Raw genomic sequence first — 17361 nt, 5'->3', positions numbered from 1 at the left:
ACCAGCTTTTGATTTCATTGATTTACTGTTATTTTTCTATTCTCTATTAATTTCTGCTCTAATCTTTATTTTTGTTCTTCTTTCTGTTTGCTTCAGATTTCACTTGCTCTTCTTTTTCTAGTGAAGGTAGAAGGACAGGGTATTGATTTGAGATCTTTCTTCCCTCTTAACATAGGCATTGACAGCTGTAAATTTCTCTGTAAGCACTACTTAAGCTCCATCCAATACATTTTTTAAAAAATGTTTAAGAGCATCTCACTATGTTGCTTCCCCAGGCTGGCCTCAAATTCCTGGGCTCAAGGGATCCTTCCACCTCAGTTTCCCAAGTAGCTGGGACTACAGGCACGTGCTACCACACCCTGCTCATCCTATACATTTTCACATGCTATGTCTTCATTTGAATTCATCTGAAAGTATTTTCTGATTTCTTTGACCAGCTAATTGTTTAAGAGTATGCTGTAATTTCCACGTATTAGAGTTTCCAAATTTCTTTCTGCTATTGATTTCTAATTTCATCCCATATGGTCAGAGAAAATGATTTGTATTATTTCCATCCTTTTAAATTTATTGAGGTTTATGTTATGGCCTACTACGTTGTCTATACTGGAGACTGTCCCATGTGCCCTTAAGAATAATGTATACTTTGGCCGGGCACTATGGCTCACGCCTGTAATCTCAGCACTTTGGGAGGGCGAGGCGAGTGGATTGCCTGAGTTCAGGGGTTCGAGACTAACCTGGGCAACACAGTGAAACCCCATCTCTACTAAAATACAAAAAATTAGCAGGGTATGGCAGCATGCACCTGTAATCCCAACTACTCGGGAGGCTGAGATAGGAGAATCGCTTGAATCTGGGAGGCCAGAGGTTGCAGTGAGCCGAGATCCACCACTGCACTCCAGCCTAAGCGACAGAGCGAGACTCAGTCTCAACAACAACAAAAAAGAATAATGTATACTTTGTTGTTAAGTGAAATGTGCTATAAATGTATTAGCTCTAGCTGCTTAAACAGTGTTATGCAAGTCTTCTATTTCCTTGTTTATCTTCTGTCTAGTTGTTCTATGATTTATTTATTTATTTATTATTTATTTATTTAGCCCAGGCTGGAGTGCAGCAGTGGTGTGATCTCGGCTCACTGCAACCTCCATCTCCCAGGTTCAAGTGATTCTCCTGCCTCAGCCTCCCAAGTAGCTAGGATTACAGGCATGGCATGCACTGCCACACCCGGCTAATTTTTGTATTTTAAAGGCGGGGGGGGGGACTGAAATCTCCAACTATTTGTCAAATTATCCATTTCTGTCAGTTTTGCTTCATGTATTTTGGTGCTCTACGTTGAAACAACCAAAATGCCCATCAACTAATGAATGACTAAACAAAAAATGGTAACAACCATATAATGGAATTATGCTCAGTCATCAAAGGGAGAGCAGCACTGATATGATGCAGGCTACAACACAGATGAACTTAGAAAACATTATACTAAGTTAAAGAAGCCAGTCACAAAAGACCACGTATTGTATGATTCCATTTATATGAAATGTCCCAAAGAAGGAAATTTTAGACAGCAAGTGGATATGAGGACTCCGGGTTTGGGGGATAGAGAAGTGATAGCTAAAACATACAGGGTTGTTGTGTGTGTGTGGTGATGAAAACATTTAGTTACTATAACGCTTTGACTATTTTGAGAGTTTCGATAAAGTTGTTTCTGACAGTTTCTGCTCATCTTCCGATGTTTCTGTAAAGAGATTAGTGTGTTTGGAGCTGCCTGCTCTGCCATTTGGCTAGAGTCACTTTTAACATACTGAAAACTAGGATGAATTGTCAAGATAGTTTAAATTGTTTCAAAATAAAAATTGAATTTAGAATAACTACTGCTGTTCTATATGTTGATATTCAAATCTCAGATTATCAAGAACTCTACAATACCAGAACTGTGTGCTTATCTTGAAATAAACTGATAAAGCAATCTGGTTTTGTGAATTAGCAACAATTATAACTAATGTGATAGTGTTAGTCTGGCCATACTTCCGACACTTTGAGTACCTTTTAATATGTTTACTCCATAAAACTTACTATTAATAATAATATCCACTATATATTTGTGAAATTGTTTAGAGTATTAACTCTATCTACACAACCCAATGAGGTAGAACAATACAGATCACATGTTACAGAAAAGGCAACCACATCTCAAAGAAATAAAGGGCTTCTTCGCAGCCATTCAGATAGTAACAGTGTCAGAACAAGAGAGCTGAGGGCTTCTGGCTCTCAGGTTCATGGTCTTTCCATTCAACCTGCAATCTCTCTATTGAGACCCAAATGTCCAAATATCAGCAATCGGGGATCACTCATGTAAGCATCTCAAATTTGATAATAGTCAACCTATAGGGACTCAAACTGAAGTGCTATTTACTTAAAAACACAAAATTAAAAAATGTTAACTGGGAAAGGATTTATAAACATACATGTATAAACTTATTCAAAATTGTTAATTTCAGAATATTCCAGCAAAGCAATGCTTGTATGTGTTGTCAGCTAGGATATGAACAGAGAAGGAACCATAGGACTCATGCTATTATTAGCAGCTACATGTCCTTTTTTAAAATACCTGTTTTTTCTTATTATCTAAAAGTAAGAATTGAGTGCTAAATGCAAGCAGTAACAAAATACAAAGCCTAGTTGCTCAAATGAAATGTCATGAGAAGTACCCTGAAGATGGATGGAACACGTCTTAACATGTCAAATTATTTTACTTTTCTAACATACTGCAAAAATAATCAGAAATAAATCGCTGCTTAAAATATGTATTATGTAGCTTCTAAAAATGAAACACATTTGAAAGTCCTAATAATATACATTACACAATAAAGATTCTATCAATAACAATAATAATGTTCTATTGTTTCAAACTACCTGGCCAGTTATTAAACTATGGTTCAAATCAGATATTCCAGCTAGCAGCCAAGTACAGCAATGCCCCATGGCACATTCCAGGACTCACCAAGAGGAGTCATAGTTCAGTATCAAGCACACTGGGTCTCACAGGCTAATGCATTTACCATTTTCTTATCAACTTTGTATGCCTTTCTTAACTATAACACAAAGAAACAAGTTATTAAATTCAATGTCTAAGACACTCTGACCTCTCTTGTCAGTGTGGCAGTTAATACTTGGTAACATACCTAGCTATTACTCCATCCTTCTCACTAATAAAATCCCCATTTACTTCTGGTGGCCCTAGACACAGTGCCAGGGGAGAAATCAAAATTGGTCTAAGCCAGTATAGCAATCCATTATTCCTTTTGGCACACAATTGATGATGTGGCTATGTGACCCAGATCTGGCAAATAACATGTAAAGGGAAGTTTTCTGGGAGTCGGAAGTTGGCAAAGTGGCAGATGAATCACTGGGGAAAGTTTTATTCCCCATTAATATAGAAAATAGAGACGAAGGAAAGCTTCCTTTTTTTCCTCCGTCTTCCTCTAGCTTTGGATGTCCTCATTTGAGGAGGGCATGCTCAGAGGTGCTGTAGTCATTTTTTAACTACGTAATGGAGAAAGACAAGCAAATTGCAGAGCTGCTGAACCCAACCTGGAACCACCAAATCCAGACTTCTTGTTAAGTGAAATAATAATTGTGTAGTTTATGCTTGTGTTACTCAAAAGATGGTCCATGTGCTACTGCTAGTCTGCAAAAAAGGTTTGCTTCCAATCCACAGTGGGATAAATACAGGAACAGAGAGCAAACATTTAGAAACTTCATAGTAATTTTATACTGCTGCAGCATTTTTATTGTATTTACAAAATATAAGTTTGCACTTAATTGAATTTTGTTTAAAAAGGTCAATTACCATATAGTAGAAATAGCATTTTTTAGGCCACTTTCAGTTGGGTATTAAGTCTCTTGCAGCCAAAAAGTCCAAGGTCTCAGCAACATCAAAGAGAAAGAGATCTATACAAGTCTTCTTATATCCTCACCCATTTTAAGGGTAACCTTTCCGCAAATAGTAAAACATATCCAGGGAAATTAAACAAAAATATAAACTAATGTGATCTGGAAAATGGGATTTCGGTCTCCTGTCTAATCATATTTCCAAGGATTCCAGAGCACCGTGGAAAAAAAGAAAAGGGATATACAAGCCAATGCATATATAATTTCACATAATTTGGATTGCACATACAATCCAAATTAAGTGAAAAAATTAAGCTCTAAAAGAATAAAGCATAAATGATTGAACCATTATGTATTCCTATTGATAATGCCATAATTATGCAACTACATTTCAGATGTTAATTCTCTTTAGAAAATTATCTGACTTCATTAAACTACTTCAGAGCTAAGTCAAGCTGATCTATTACAGTATCAGAGACTGAGCTATGTGACATTCAAACTTGCAAGTCTGGTTTTAATGACATTCAAACGATGCACAATGAGAAACTTTTTACTCATACATTAAAATTTATTTTTCTAATCAAACCTGCAAAAATTTTAACCATACTCTAATATATGGAAGCTGAAACATACACATAAAAAAATTTATAGCTGTAGACGTAGGTACTTACCAGAAAGATGTAACACAATTAAGAAAAAAAATCCTTAACTTCCAGTTCCACCTTACAGTTTTGTTTTGTTTTTTCTACTTAGTAAATTAGGAAAATGCTCAGGAAGAAGAGTCTATGAATGCCTTCTTAGTATAGTCAAGAATGACGGATAGATGAGAACATACAAGTCAAAAATCTCAACACAATGAAAAGCCCAACTGCACTTGAGATAGCATGACTTTGTAAATGTGTTTGCCAAGGCCACTTGTTTTCCAAAAGGCTATACATTAATATCTCAAAGAATAAACCATATTCCTCCTTCTACAATCAATGGCTAAGAGAACTTGGCCAGAAATTACATATATGGTAGTTAACAAACATCTTCACAGCTTAATTAGATTAACTCTTGTTGGCTAAATGCCTAACACTACATAAAATAATCATTTAACAGAGAAGATGCATACATGGTATATTTACGACAGTTGCATCTAGCACCAAACCAAAGTTCCCCAATCTAAATAGAAGCAAAACTTAAATACAATTTCATACTTTTATCAGCCTTAGCCTAGATAAGATTCTTCCCATCAGGGAATACAATTTAGGGTGGATTTTTTTCTTTTTATCACAAGTTAATTTCCAACATAGTAAGTTCTGATTTGATTATGACTTTCCTCATAATATACATTAAGGTTACCTAACTTGTTTAAAATATATTTCTTTTAATAATTTTGATATAAAACAAATGCTTTAGTTGGTACAAAGTACTCATGATTTTGATTTTTAAAAAGAAAGTCAAGATTATTACATATTTAATACAAATTCTTACATATGCCAAGAACAATAAATGCATTTCTTTTAAACTGAGAAGTAACTCTGATGTGTTTTTACAAGAGAATTACTTCCATTTCTCTGTAATTTCACTGCTTTCAAATCCAAGAGCAAAATTCATACTTAGAATGACATTTAAAAGGAAAGCCAAACGGGCTTTTATTCATTATATCACAACACTTCTTACTTCATTAAAACATTCTTTATGCTTGATAATTTTCAGATTGATAATACATTACCAGATTAAGGAATAGGAGTATGATATACAATGATATACAACTAACAGTTTTTGGTTCTTTTTTTGAGACAGGGTCTCACTCTGTCACCCAGGCTGGGGTGAAGTGTATGTGATGTCAGCTCACTGCAGCCTCTGCCTCCCAAGGTCAAGCAATTCATGTGCCTAAGCCTCCTGAGTAGCTGGAATTACAGGCATGTGCCACCACACCTGGCTAATTTTGGGGTTTTTTGTTTTTTTAGTAGAGACTGGGTTTTGCCATGTTGGCCAACCTGGTCTTGAACCCCTGGCCTCAAGTGATGCGCCCACCTTGGCCTCCCAAAGTATCAGGATTACAGGCGTGAACCACCACGTCCAGACAACTAATAGCTTCTTAATTATAAAATCCAAAACATGGAATTCTCACTTGTAGCATATGCATGGATACTCATGCACATGTACCTCAGTACCACCTTCTTAATAGCTTTACTGAGCAACAGTGCTGAAGAGACCAATGTGGAATCAAGGGTCCTTTCCATGATATGACTGCAGAAAATCTCCTGTGATTAGAAACCACTACTTCTGACCCAAACAACTTGTACTATTTTAGGATTCAGCCTTTCAAACCAACAAGGCTTGTGTTCTAACAAATCAAATCTAAATTCCTAATTGTACAGACAGAAAACTGAGGCCCAGAGATGCACAAGTGATTTACCTAAGATCACATTACTGAATTTAAACCTACCATTGGTTTCTTTGTCATTAAGGTTGGTTGTAGTAATCAAGGTTGAGTAACAGCATATTCTTTGAACTTTTTTTTTTTTTTTTTTTTTTTTTTTTTTTTTTTTTTTTTTTTGAGACAGAGTCTCGCTCTGTAGCCTAGGCTGGAGTGCAGTGGCGCAATCTCAGCTCACTGCAACCTCCACCTCCTGGGTTCAAGCAATTCTCCTGCCACAGCCTCCTGAATAGCTGGGACTACAGGCACCTGCCTCCACGCCCGGCTGGTTTTTGTATTTTTAATAGAGATGGGGTTTCACCATTTTGGCCAGGCTGGTCTCGAACTCCTGACCTCAAGTGATCCACCCACCTCAGCTTCCCAAAGTGCTGGGATTACTGGCATAAGCCACCGCACCTGGCCTGTTCGAACTTAAAATAGTTGTTCAGTTGCTTCCGCTCAGAAGTATACTGACTTCTGGCTGGGCTCACACGTGTAATCCCAGCACTTTGGGAGGCTGAGGCAGGAGGATCACTTGAGCCTAGGAGTTGGCAAAGTATACTGACTTTTTCTGCCCCTCTCCCCAAGCAAACAAATTCTATGCCCAATTAAGTGCTGTCTTTTAAAGGAGTAATCTCAAGGAAATAATTTTGGACATCAACACCATTACTCAAATAAGGTTGAAATTCTTCAGAACTGTCTTCAGCTCTACATCTATTTTTATTTATTTATTTTGAGACAGAGTCTTGCTCTGTCAGCCAGGCTAGAGTGCAGTGGCACGATCTCAGCTCACTGCAACCTCCGCCTCCCAGGCTCAAGCAATTCTCCTGCCTCAGTCTCTCAAGTAGCTGGGATTACAGGCGTATGCCACCACACCTGGCTAATTTTTGTATTTTTAGAAGAAACGGGGTTTCACCATGTTGGCCAGGCTGGTCTCTAACTCCTGACCTCAGTTAATCTGCCCTCCACAGCCCCCCAGAGTGCTGGGATTACAGACGTGAGCCACCGCGTCTAGCCCAGATCTTCATTTATAAACCATATAAATGTATTCCTAGGGATGAGGAAACCAAGGTCACACAAGTCTTGTGACTCCAAATCTCTGGAAATATTCTTTTCATTGCTCTTTATAGTCACCTCAATAGAGACCTTTAGTATCCTTCAACTTGACAATTACCCACCCCTTTTTTCCCAATCTTGTCTCTAAAAAACATGTTAATCATTTCTCCCACCCAAAGACAAATACAAGCTCCAAAAGATGATTGGCCACCAGAGATGCTCTTCAGTACCTGAGTACAGATTCAAGAGGCCCCCAAGACATTCTGAGCAATGATGGTACTGTTGGAAGAAAGAGGCTCGAAAACTAGATTTCTGAAAACAATCATGTGGATGTCTGTTACAAGAGCCTTGTTAGATTTACTCATCTCATTTCCATCAGAAATGGAATTTGAAGGTGGAGGGAAAATATAGATGAATTCAAAATTCCAACCCAAAATTCACATGTGGATTTGGAAACTAGTCCTATCTGGCAAGGGCTAGAGTGACTGAAGTATGATAAATGTTCTCTATGCAACAGCAACTTGAGGAATCCACTGATAATTTTTCTTCTTCATTCACATCTCTCAGAAAAGCGTTCTGAGTGACATCACTGCATACCTGGAATGACCCTACAATCTAATGTACTTGTTGGTAATCTTGCCCTGCCACTTGATATTTAGAGTAGCAGATAAATGACAAATGATTTTCATTTGGCCTTTTGGTCTAGAGTATTTCATTGGTATTTTGGTCTGGAGCTTGAAGCCACACTGGAATTACAGCCTAACAATCTCTCAAAAGACATGCAAACTTACCTGATGTAATTCTTTTTTTTTTTTTTTTTTTTTTTTTGAGCTAGAGTTTCGCTCTTTTTGCCCAGGCTGGAGTGCAATGGCGCGATCTTGGCTCACCGCAATCTCCGCCTCCCAGGTTCAAGTGGTTCTCCTGCCTCAGCCTCCCAAGTAGCTGGGATTACAGGCATGCGCCACCACGCCTGGCTAATTTTGTATTTTTTAGTAAAGATAAGGTTTCTCTGTGTTGGCCAGGCTGGTCTCAAACTCTCGACCTCAGGTGATCCACCCACCTCAGCCGCCCAAAGTGCTGGGATTACAGGCGTGAGCCACCGCATCCAGCCACCTGACGTAATTCTCAATTCTCACTTTCCTGAATCAAGGTATATTTCATTTTCAATCACTTGTAAAGCCCTGATTAGACTCAAACAATATCAAAACCATTCTAATCTCCCACTTCCATGTGATCAAGTTAAAAATCAATCTCTATTATAAGAGCTACACATACATCAGAACTCTAGACATCTTTCCCTACCCAGGAGCTCTAGGGCCCTTGTAAAGCTCTTGGTCATCCAAGTTTTCTCCACCAAGGATGACTATAACCTTCAGAAACTCTGGCTAAAGGTTCCCAGGCCTGGCGAATCTCCTGAACATACATTATGAACTAGTTAGGTGGACGGGAGAAAGGGAAATAGATAATGAAAAGGTATCCATCAAGCCGGGCACGGCGGCTCACGCCTGTAATCCCAGCACTTTGGGAGGCCGAGACAGGTGGATCATGAGGTCAGGAGTTCAAGACCAGCCTGACCAAGATGGTGAAACCTTGTCTCTACTAAAAATACAAAAATTAGCCAGGCATGGTGGCGGGCACCTGTAATCCCAGCTACTCAGGAGGCTGAGGCAGAGAATTGCTTGAACCCAGGAGGCAGAGGTTGCAGTGAGCCAAGATTGTGCCGCTGCACTCCAGCCTGGGCAACAGAGCGAGACTCCGTCTCAAAAAAAAAAAAGAAAGAAAGAAAAGAAAAGGTATACATCATTTAAATATGGGGTAGATTTCTACAGTCTTCATTATTTAAAATATCTGCAAACAAAACTCATTTGTAGTCTGGGTACTTTCTATACGTTCAACAGCGAAGGGTAGGGGGTGGGGGCCATCCAATGTTAATTCTCTTTACTGTGACAATATTGCTGGTACAGTAAGATAAAACTATCTTAGGATGCTAAACTTACTCTCTGGATGTGCTTTGTACACTGCTTGTACTATGTGTGACTCACTTTATTGACTTTATTAACTAGGACTGTAAGATGCTTTAGTTTTGTTTGTGTTTTTGTACAAAAAGAGTCTCATTCTGTCACCCAGGCTGTAGAGCAGTGGCGTGATCATAGTTCACTGCAACCTCAAACTCCTGGGCTCAAGGGATCTTCCCAATGTAGCCTCCCAAGTGGCTAGGACTACAGGTGCACAACTCTATACCGAGCTAATTGTTTTTAAATTTTTTTGTAGAGAAGGGGTCTCACTATGTTGCCCAGGCTGGTCTTGAACTCCTGGCCTCAAATGATTCTTCTGCCTTGGCCTCTCAAAGTGCTAGGATTATAGGCATGAGACAATGCACCCAGGCTACATGTTTTAAATATAGCCATACACTGGATGGTACTAGAGAAACATTAAGCAACCACTGGAATGTCCTGAGCAAGAGAAAATGTTTATGGGATAAACACAAAGAAATTCCAAAGTCCCACAGTGAACAGACATAGAAACAAAGAGGATTTCTGTAAAGAAATGCCAAAAGAAGTGGCCAGCTACTCCCTGTTCATTATCTTTGTATGCAGCCCAGACCAGGTAGTGGGCTAACCTAGTCTGGCCATGGCCCACATCTCTAATATCCAAAAGGGTGGAAGGGTGGGGGGCACAAACACTCCAAACCAAACAAATGGGGGTGGTGGGGATTGGGAGGGGCACAGACCAGTGAGGTTGGCATTTCCCAATTATATGGGAATTACATTCATTTCCTTCTCCAAGGGGGAAGTATAGCAGCAGTGTGTGTAGCAGGGACTAAACCCTAGGACTAATCCAGAAAAACATAGCTTGCCATGCAATCCTTTCAAGCATCAAAGGGACCCTAGGCCTGGGAGCCCTAACCTTAACAAGTATCCTATCCTTGGGCAAAGGGAAGGAGGAAGAGAATTGGGGGGGCGGCTATATCATGCTTCTGATTTGACTACTGCCCCCAAAATAAACAGAATCTGAAGAGCCTACGGGGAGGGGCTTCGTGTGGTCTACCTCATACTGACAAGAAACAAATCATTACTAGTCATTTCTATTTCAGGGGAGGTTGGACTGCCTACATGGCAAACAAACAAAGAGTAATACTTTTGCTAACACAAGGCCTAAAGTTAAATCCCACTCCCCTCCCACTCCAGCAACATGGCCACCCAACTGGACCACTGAAAAGGACCCTAATGTCAGAGCTATCTTTGCACGAGACATACTTTAGAGAACCTGGAAAATTCAACATTGGACACATTTTGCTGCAAAATTAAATTGGCTATTAAGAAGTGAAAAGAACAAAATTGTCATGACACAGACGACATGCTGAGCTCTGCACCACTGACCTATAGTCTTCATGTGATTATACAGGAATGTTTTTGAATTCGTTGTACTTCTTACCATATACTAGCATCCAAAGGAATGTTTTTTTTTTTAACTAAAATTGTTGAAATTCTAAATACAAACAGCATTCAACTCTACTCTTGCCTACCCCTATCCCTGAAGTCCAGCTCTCAACACTGAACTTTTCTTTCAAACCCTAAGGAGCAAGGAACAAAAATCTCTATGAAGGTCCCAAAGACTAAAAATTCGTATTTTTAGTGCTCTATTGTTATGTTCAAAACCCTATATAGCTCGTACTTTTTGGCTAAGGAGATCTGAAAACAGCAAAGCTCCTGCAGCCCAGCTGTTTTCTTTTCTAATTAGTGAAAGAGGAACCTGTGGAGAGATTAAAGATTTAGCCTGCCCCAGAGCTAACAGCTTCCCCTCCAGCAGCAATCCTACCTCCTGCTGGCCTAAGCAGAAAGACAGAACAGACCATCAAATCCAGATCTCTGGCATTAATAATGACTGACAGTCTTGCCAGCCACCCAACTAGGTCTTTAATTTAAAGACTATCATAGGCTGGGCACAGTGGCTCACGCCTGTAATCCCAACACTTTGGGAGGCCAAGGTGGGCAGATCACTGGAGGCCAGGAGTTCGAGACCAGGCTGGTCAACATACGGAAACCCCATCTCTACTAAAAATACAAAAAGATTAAATAAAAAATTAGCTGGGCATCGTGGCGTGCAGCTGTGGTCCCAGCTACTTGGGAGACTGAGGCAGGAGAATCTCTTGAACCCGGGAGGTGGAGGCTGCAGTAAGTATAGATTGCACCACTGCACTCCAGCCTGGGCAATAGAGCAAGACTCCATCTCAAAAAAACAAAAAACATAAATAAATAAAAATAAAGACTATCATAATCAGCCTTCCCTTGAAGAGTATTTTTTTTTTTTTTTATACTCTAAGTTTTAGGGTACATGTGCACATTGTGCAGGTTAGTTACATATGTATACATGTGCCATGCTGGTGCGCTGCACCCACCAACGTGTCATCTATCATTAGGTATATCTCCCAATGCTATCCCTCCCCCCTCCCCCGACCCCACCACAGTCCCCAGAGTGTGATATTCCCCTTCCTGTGTCCATGTGATCTCATTGAAGAGTATTTTTTATGAGGTGCTAGCACACAACAGTAGGTGATTTAATCACGAACTTTTCAGAATATACACGATAGCACAATCATTTGTGATTCAGAACTATACAGCTTTAAAAAAAAAATACTTTCCATTATCAAATATATCCTTCATGAAAGATGTTTTGTAAAGTACAAAACAGACCTGAAACTAAGTTCTGAATAAATAGGCACTGTTTTCTCAAACCTTGTAATACACACTTTTTAACTCCTTTTTAAAAATTTGGTTCAGAGGGGGTATCTCATCCTGGAGGACTTTTCCAACTTGATCTTCAGATTCCAACTGGCTCATTCTAGTCAACTTCAGGACATCTCTGGTGAAAGATTCTCACTGAACTCCCTTAGCAAGTTATTCCATTGTTTGACTGACCTCACTGTCAGGTAAAATTTTAGTGGGAGATTAGAACATTTTTCTTTTTCAGCTCCAGAACAAAGTAATTTTTAGATCAAAAAGAATTGCTGCAACATCCCTGCTGACACAATAGGATAAAGCAAAGGAGAAAAGCACTGGTTGACACCATGCAGCTACTGTAAAGTTTATTTCTAAAGCTGTTAATACAGTTTTGAAATATGAAGCTTCAAGTACCATGACAGCCAGAGTGTGAGTTTTTGTTGCTACATTTTTAAAATTAAGCCCTTTATTGGCTTTTTGTCCATTCACCTTTCTTTTAATACTGAGAAAGGAGAAAAGAAAAACATTTCATGTTAGTAAATGCTTTATTGACCTCTCTTATCTGAACAAAAATGACCCATATCTCACAACCTCTAAAAGCTGGTGAATTTTTTAAGCCAAATATACAAAACATCACACATAAAGATTTTGCTTTTAAGCCTTAGAATACAGCCAGGTGGTTAGTACTAATGGTTTGTCTCCATGCAGAGTCTATAACGCAGCCCCTTCAAAAGTTCCAAGCCAACATCTTCATGCTATCCTGAAAATAATGCAGTATTCAGTTCAAAAGAATTAAGTACCAGATATATCTGGTTTCAAGTGTTATTCAGTATTTCATACCCTAACTCACATTCTGAAAGTTCTATAACAGGCAGGATAATATCTTCTACCAATAATGAATTTACTATCATCCAGATTGAGAAAAAGCATGCTCATTCATCCCAGTTACTTGAATACTCTTTTAAAATATTCACCAAATACAGGCAAAATAAAGTTTAAGAAACACACATTTTTAAGTACCTTTAATTACAGTTAACTCATTTAATTGGGTTCTAGTACACAGATATACCTATATATTTGTCAGTTACACAGAGAGAAAACTCCATTTCACAGCCACAAGAAATAACTAACCCAAGTATGCAAGTCCATGTGGGTATCAAGAATAATAAAGATGGTTCCATGCAATTCCCCCCATTTCTAACACCAATCTTCCCCTACCTACTCCCTGCACCACCACCACCCGCTCCCCCACAAAAAAAAAACAAAACAAAAAACAAAAAAAACTTCTGCATTTGGAATTAGAGGTAAAGCAGAAACCTGTTCTTGCTGGACCAAAGAAGTGATATTAAGCATCCCATCACATACAAAGATAGTTCTGAGCATGGTGGTCCCAACCTATTCTCTCACCCTATCCCACTCTTCAGTGATTTCTCCAAGGTATACTTTGTAAGGAACATAAAACCAACAGTTACACATGTCACAGGGGTTTGGATGAAGAAAAATCAATTTACTTTGGCTAATACTCAACTACATACGGGTTGGGGATAAGGGGCTCTTCCTCTGAGATTCCTGACTCCAGTTGTGACCAAGAAGGATATTTGACCCTGGCACAAGAATGCTAAAATCAATCCAATCCAGCTCTAGAATTAACTCACAGGGCTGGGAAAGGTTACCTGGAGCAGCTGACCTGTCCTGGAGAAACAGACACTTTCCTAGCTTCTTAAGAACTTCACCAGGAACACGGAGATTGGGTGCCTATATAATAAATGACACAAAATGTTTACCTCTCATTCCATCCCTGTGATTACTAAGTGTCTCTTCCTTGCCACTAAAAAATCTGATCAACCAGACTAGGCTAGGACAAATCCTTTCCAGAAACTAAACTAATTCCCAAATCTAACAGCTTGAAGTTGTTTCACTTCTCCTAGTTTCAAGAAACTACACAACCAGCAGGACAAACTGCCTCGGCCAGCAGAGGAGGAGGCTGTAGCTGCCAGTGGTGGGACTCCCCAGCTGCTCAGCCCCAGGGTGCTGCTGTGGGGTGTTCAGGTCACAGGGGCAGGGCTATGCCAAGCGGGAGGGATCTAGGCCCTGCCTCACCTCTCAGAGCTACATCAAGCCCTGCCTCACCTCTCAGAGCTACATCAAGCCCTGCCTCACCTCTCAGAGCTACATCAAGCGCTGGGGAGCCTACAACACAACCCTCTACTCAGCAGGGCGTTCAAGGCCTGACCTCGGCTTGCCTCTGTCTGTCCAAACTCATTCAGGATAGGGCTCACACATAGTGCTGCATCAAGCCCCCTTCATCACTCCAGTGATCTGCCCTCAATCTGTCTCTCCCACTGTCCCACGGATAGTAATGGCAGTGAGCTCCTGGAGTGACTCAAGCTGAGCTAATGACTGTGTGGAGAACCTCCATAAATCAAATAGGGATTGGATTGGATCGGATCATACTTTCCCTCCAGTGTCACAGGCTGTCCACATTTGTACGAGTTCCCACACAACTCTCACTGTATTGCAAATTTGTTTCCAATCTGCCTACTTCTCTCCAACTACTGCTGTCACCAACCATCTAGCCACCATCATCTCCTGCCTGGACTGATACAGCTGTTGTTCCTACCTCATTTCTAAAATCTGTTCTCCACGAAAGCAGCCAGATTGATCTTTTTGCATTGTGTAAGTCTGATTAAGTCATTCCCTGCTTAAAACCTTCCAGCGTCTGCTTCACTTAAAATAAAACTCGGACTTCTTAGCTTGACCAAGACTTTGTCTGGTTTGGCTCTTGCTTCATTCTCTCTCCGCATCTCCTCTCAATATCAGTAGTTCCCAGAAGAAGCTATTAATACATAGTACTTTGTAGTGTTTGGAACACTAGCTTTGTTGTGAGCCTCCCTGGGTTTGAATCCCAGCCCTGCCACAAGTAAGCAATATCAAGCATGTAAAGTTCTTAACAAATTATGTTTACACAGTAGATCCTCCCACCTCAGTAAGTGAAACCATCATCCACTGGATTGCTCAGTGCTAAACTAGAAACCTAAGCATTATCTCTGACTCCTCTTCTTTCACCTCACATCCAGTCTATCACAAGGCTTGCAAAAACATAGCCCCAAACTGACTACTTCTCACCATCTCCTCTATTACTACTGTAATCCAAGCCACCATTATCTCGTCTGGACTCCTGCTTTTTTCTCTGATACCCTTCAATTCTTTACAGGGAAAAATTAAAAAACAAAAACAAAAACAAAAACACTCCACAACCAGCTACCAAGGAAACAATCAATTTCCATGATAATCTGAGGTTCATATTAAATATGTACAGGATAAGAAATGACAATGCTGCACTAAGGACTTTTTTTCCCTCACAAGTGTGGAAGAAATACCAACAAAACAATGCTCCCAAGAAAGAAGTGGTATGATTTGTCCATAATCAGGATAAACAATAAATCACCCACTTTATTGATTCCCACTGGTGAAATAAATTTTAAAAATGTCGCATGCACGTGTGTGTAATTAAAGACCTATACAAAACCCTCCAGCCCTCCTTTCATATACATAAAGTACTTGCATAAATACACAAAGATTAAAACCTAGGATCTGTGTGTCACTCAAGGAAATGATTGTTGCAGGCATAGAACTAATTGATGCATTTCCAGAGTCTCCACAGTGGACAAAGAATATCTTCAAAGCAAAGGAATTTAATAGCATAAAAACAACTAAACATCGAAAATAACCTCAATTAGCCAAGGTATATGTACGTGTATTTTAATCTCACAGGCAAAAAGATCATGAGATGAGTGTCCCAAGCCAAAAGGGTCATGGTTATAAACATTATTTTCCTATCAATATATGCAAAAGAGGCTTACTGCTCTTTCAACCACACTCCAAAATGTCCCCTGCCTTTCAAACAGACTAAGACACACACCATGTCAGCCATTCTTTACAAATTCTTAGAGTACGAATTGATATGAAAGACTGACCAGAGATAAAATTAACTATCTCATTACCTCTGATCATTTCAACTACATGAATATATACAAGAACTCCTACAATGAGAACATATTCCAAATATACAGCCTTTACAACAGTAGGGGCTCTTTCTTTTCTCTATTTTCTTCTATATTTTATTGGCAGTCAAGCAGTACCTTTACTTTAAAGCCTTTTTAGACTTACCTGCTTTGCCGTAATGCTGACTGAGATGACTTCACTTACCACTAACACGTAGGTAAGAAGTTCTCTCACCTTTTCAGGAGCTACCAGTAACTCTACTTAACAGGAAATAATTAAGTTGTATCTACTGAAGTTGAAGGCAGAAACAAATCAATGCCTACGGGATTCTAAAAGTTGTCAAAGAAATGAAAACAAAACTTGGAACAGAAATTTGAACTGATTTCATTTCTGCTGTGCCCTCCCCATCAGAATATTAACTCAATTTAAAATAACCAATTTCCTTTATTTCCTGCTTCACCTTTTCCAATTTGTTACATATACTGAATCAGCAATTTTCCAAATTTTCAAACAGTAAAACTTTCTTTCAAATTAAACCTTGCAAAGAACGTGAATATAAAATAGAAAAAAAAGTGATTTTAGGGTAAATATATCTCCTAAGTTCAAATATAAAACATTCACATATTATAAAGCAAATTACTGCTGGGCCTGTAATCTCCACACTTTGGGAGGCCAAGGAGAGAAAATCACTTGAGCCCAGAAGTTTGAGACCAGCCTGGGCAACATAGTAAGATTTCATCTTTACCAATAAAAAAAAAAAAAAATCAAAAATTAACCAGGCATGGTTGTGCATGCCTGAAGTCCCAGCTACCTGTGAGGCTGAGGCGGGAGGATCACTTGAGCGAAAGAGGTCAAGGCTGCAGTGAACTGTGATTGCCCCACTGCACTCCAGCCTGGGCAACATAGCAAGACCAGCCTGACAACACAATGAGACTTCATCTCTATTTAAAAAAAAAAAAAAATACAGAAATTAACTATTACATAAACAAGAACTAATATATAGATGACAACGAAGAAAATCTTGTTCATGAACATAAGTTGCTGATAACAGATTTATCTTTATTTTAAACAGTTCACCTCAGAGTTCTGGGATGCTCTTTAAGTAGAGCAGGCCAAAAAAAAAAATCATTTACTTTTAAGATCTTCACAAAAATGAATTAACAGAACAGCAACAACTAATGCATTATTGGTAATCATGTACTAAAATTAAGTTTATTTTTTGAATAACATCTAAAATAACACTTTCATCAAATGTTTATAAAATCCTTAAAAGCATCTCTACAA

The 17361-nt window shown here is 39.2% G+C and overlaps 1 protein-coding gene across 3 annotated transcripts in view, besides 3 other annotated features; it reads right to left on the bottom strand.

The window, feature by feature from the left end:
* ZFAND3 (zinc finger AN1-type containing 3) overlaps positions 1 to 17361 on the bottom strand; it is a 334898-nt gene that overhangs the window by 261951 nt on the left and 55586 nt on the right. The gene's annotated exons all lie outside the window — the stretch shown is intronic.
* Positions 10860 to 11425: an enhancer, noted in NCBI's record as "OCT4-NANOG hESC enhancer chr6:37849025-37849590 (GRCh37/hg19 assembly coordinates)". NCBI's record gives its function as "activates a minimal SCP1, AML or CMV promoter by ChIP-STARR-seq in primed H9 embryonic stem cells {active_cell/tissue: H9 hESC(primed)}" and the evidence as "EXISTENCE:reporter gene assay evidence [ECO:0000049][PMID:30033119]".
* Positions 12775 to 12975: a silencer, noted in NCBI's record as "peak5796 fragment used in MPRA reporter construct". NCBI's record gives its function as "represses an SCP1 promoter by STARR-seq MPRAs in K562 erythroleukemia cells {active_cell/tissue: K562}" and the evidence as "EXISTENCE:reporter gene assay evidence [ECO:0000049][PMID:32103011]".
* Positions 14156 to 14225: an enhancer, noted in NCBI's record as "active region_24481". NCBI's record gives its function as "activates an Ori minimal core promoter by ATAC-STARR-seq in GM12878 lymphoblastoid cells {active_cell/tissue: GM12878}" and the evidence as "EXISTENCE:reporter gene assay evidence [ECO:0000049][PMID:35858748]".

Source organism: Homo sapiens, chromosome 6 (assembly GCF_000001405.40).
Source record: "Homo sapiens chromosome 6, GRCh38.p14 Primary Assembly".
NCBI classification, from domain to species: Eukaryota; Metazoa; Chordata; class Mammalia; order Primates; family Hominidae; genus Homo; species Homo sapiens.
This window is presented reverse-complemented; position numbering and strand designations above follow the sequence as displayed.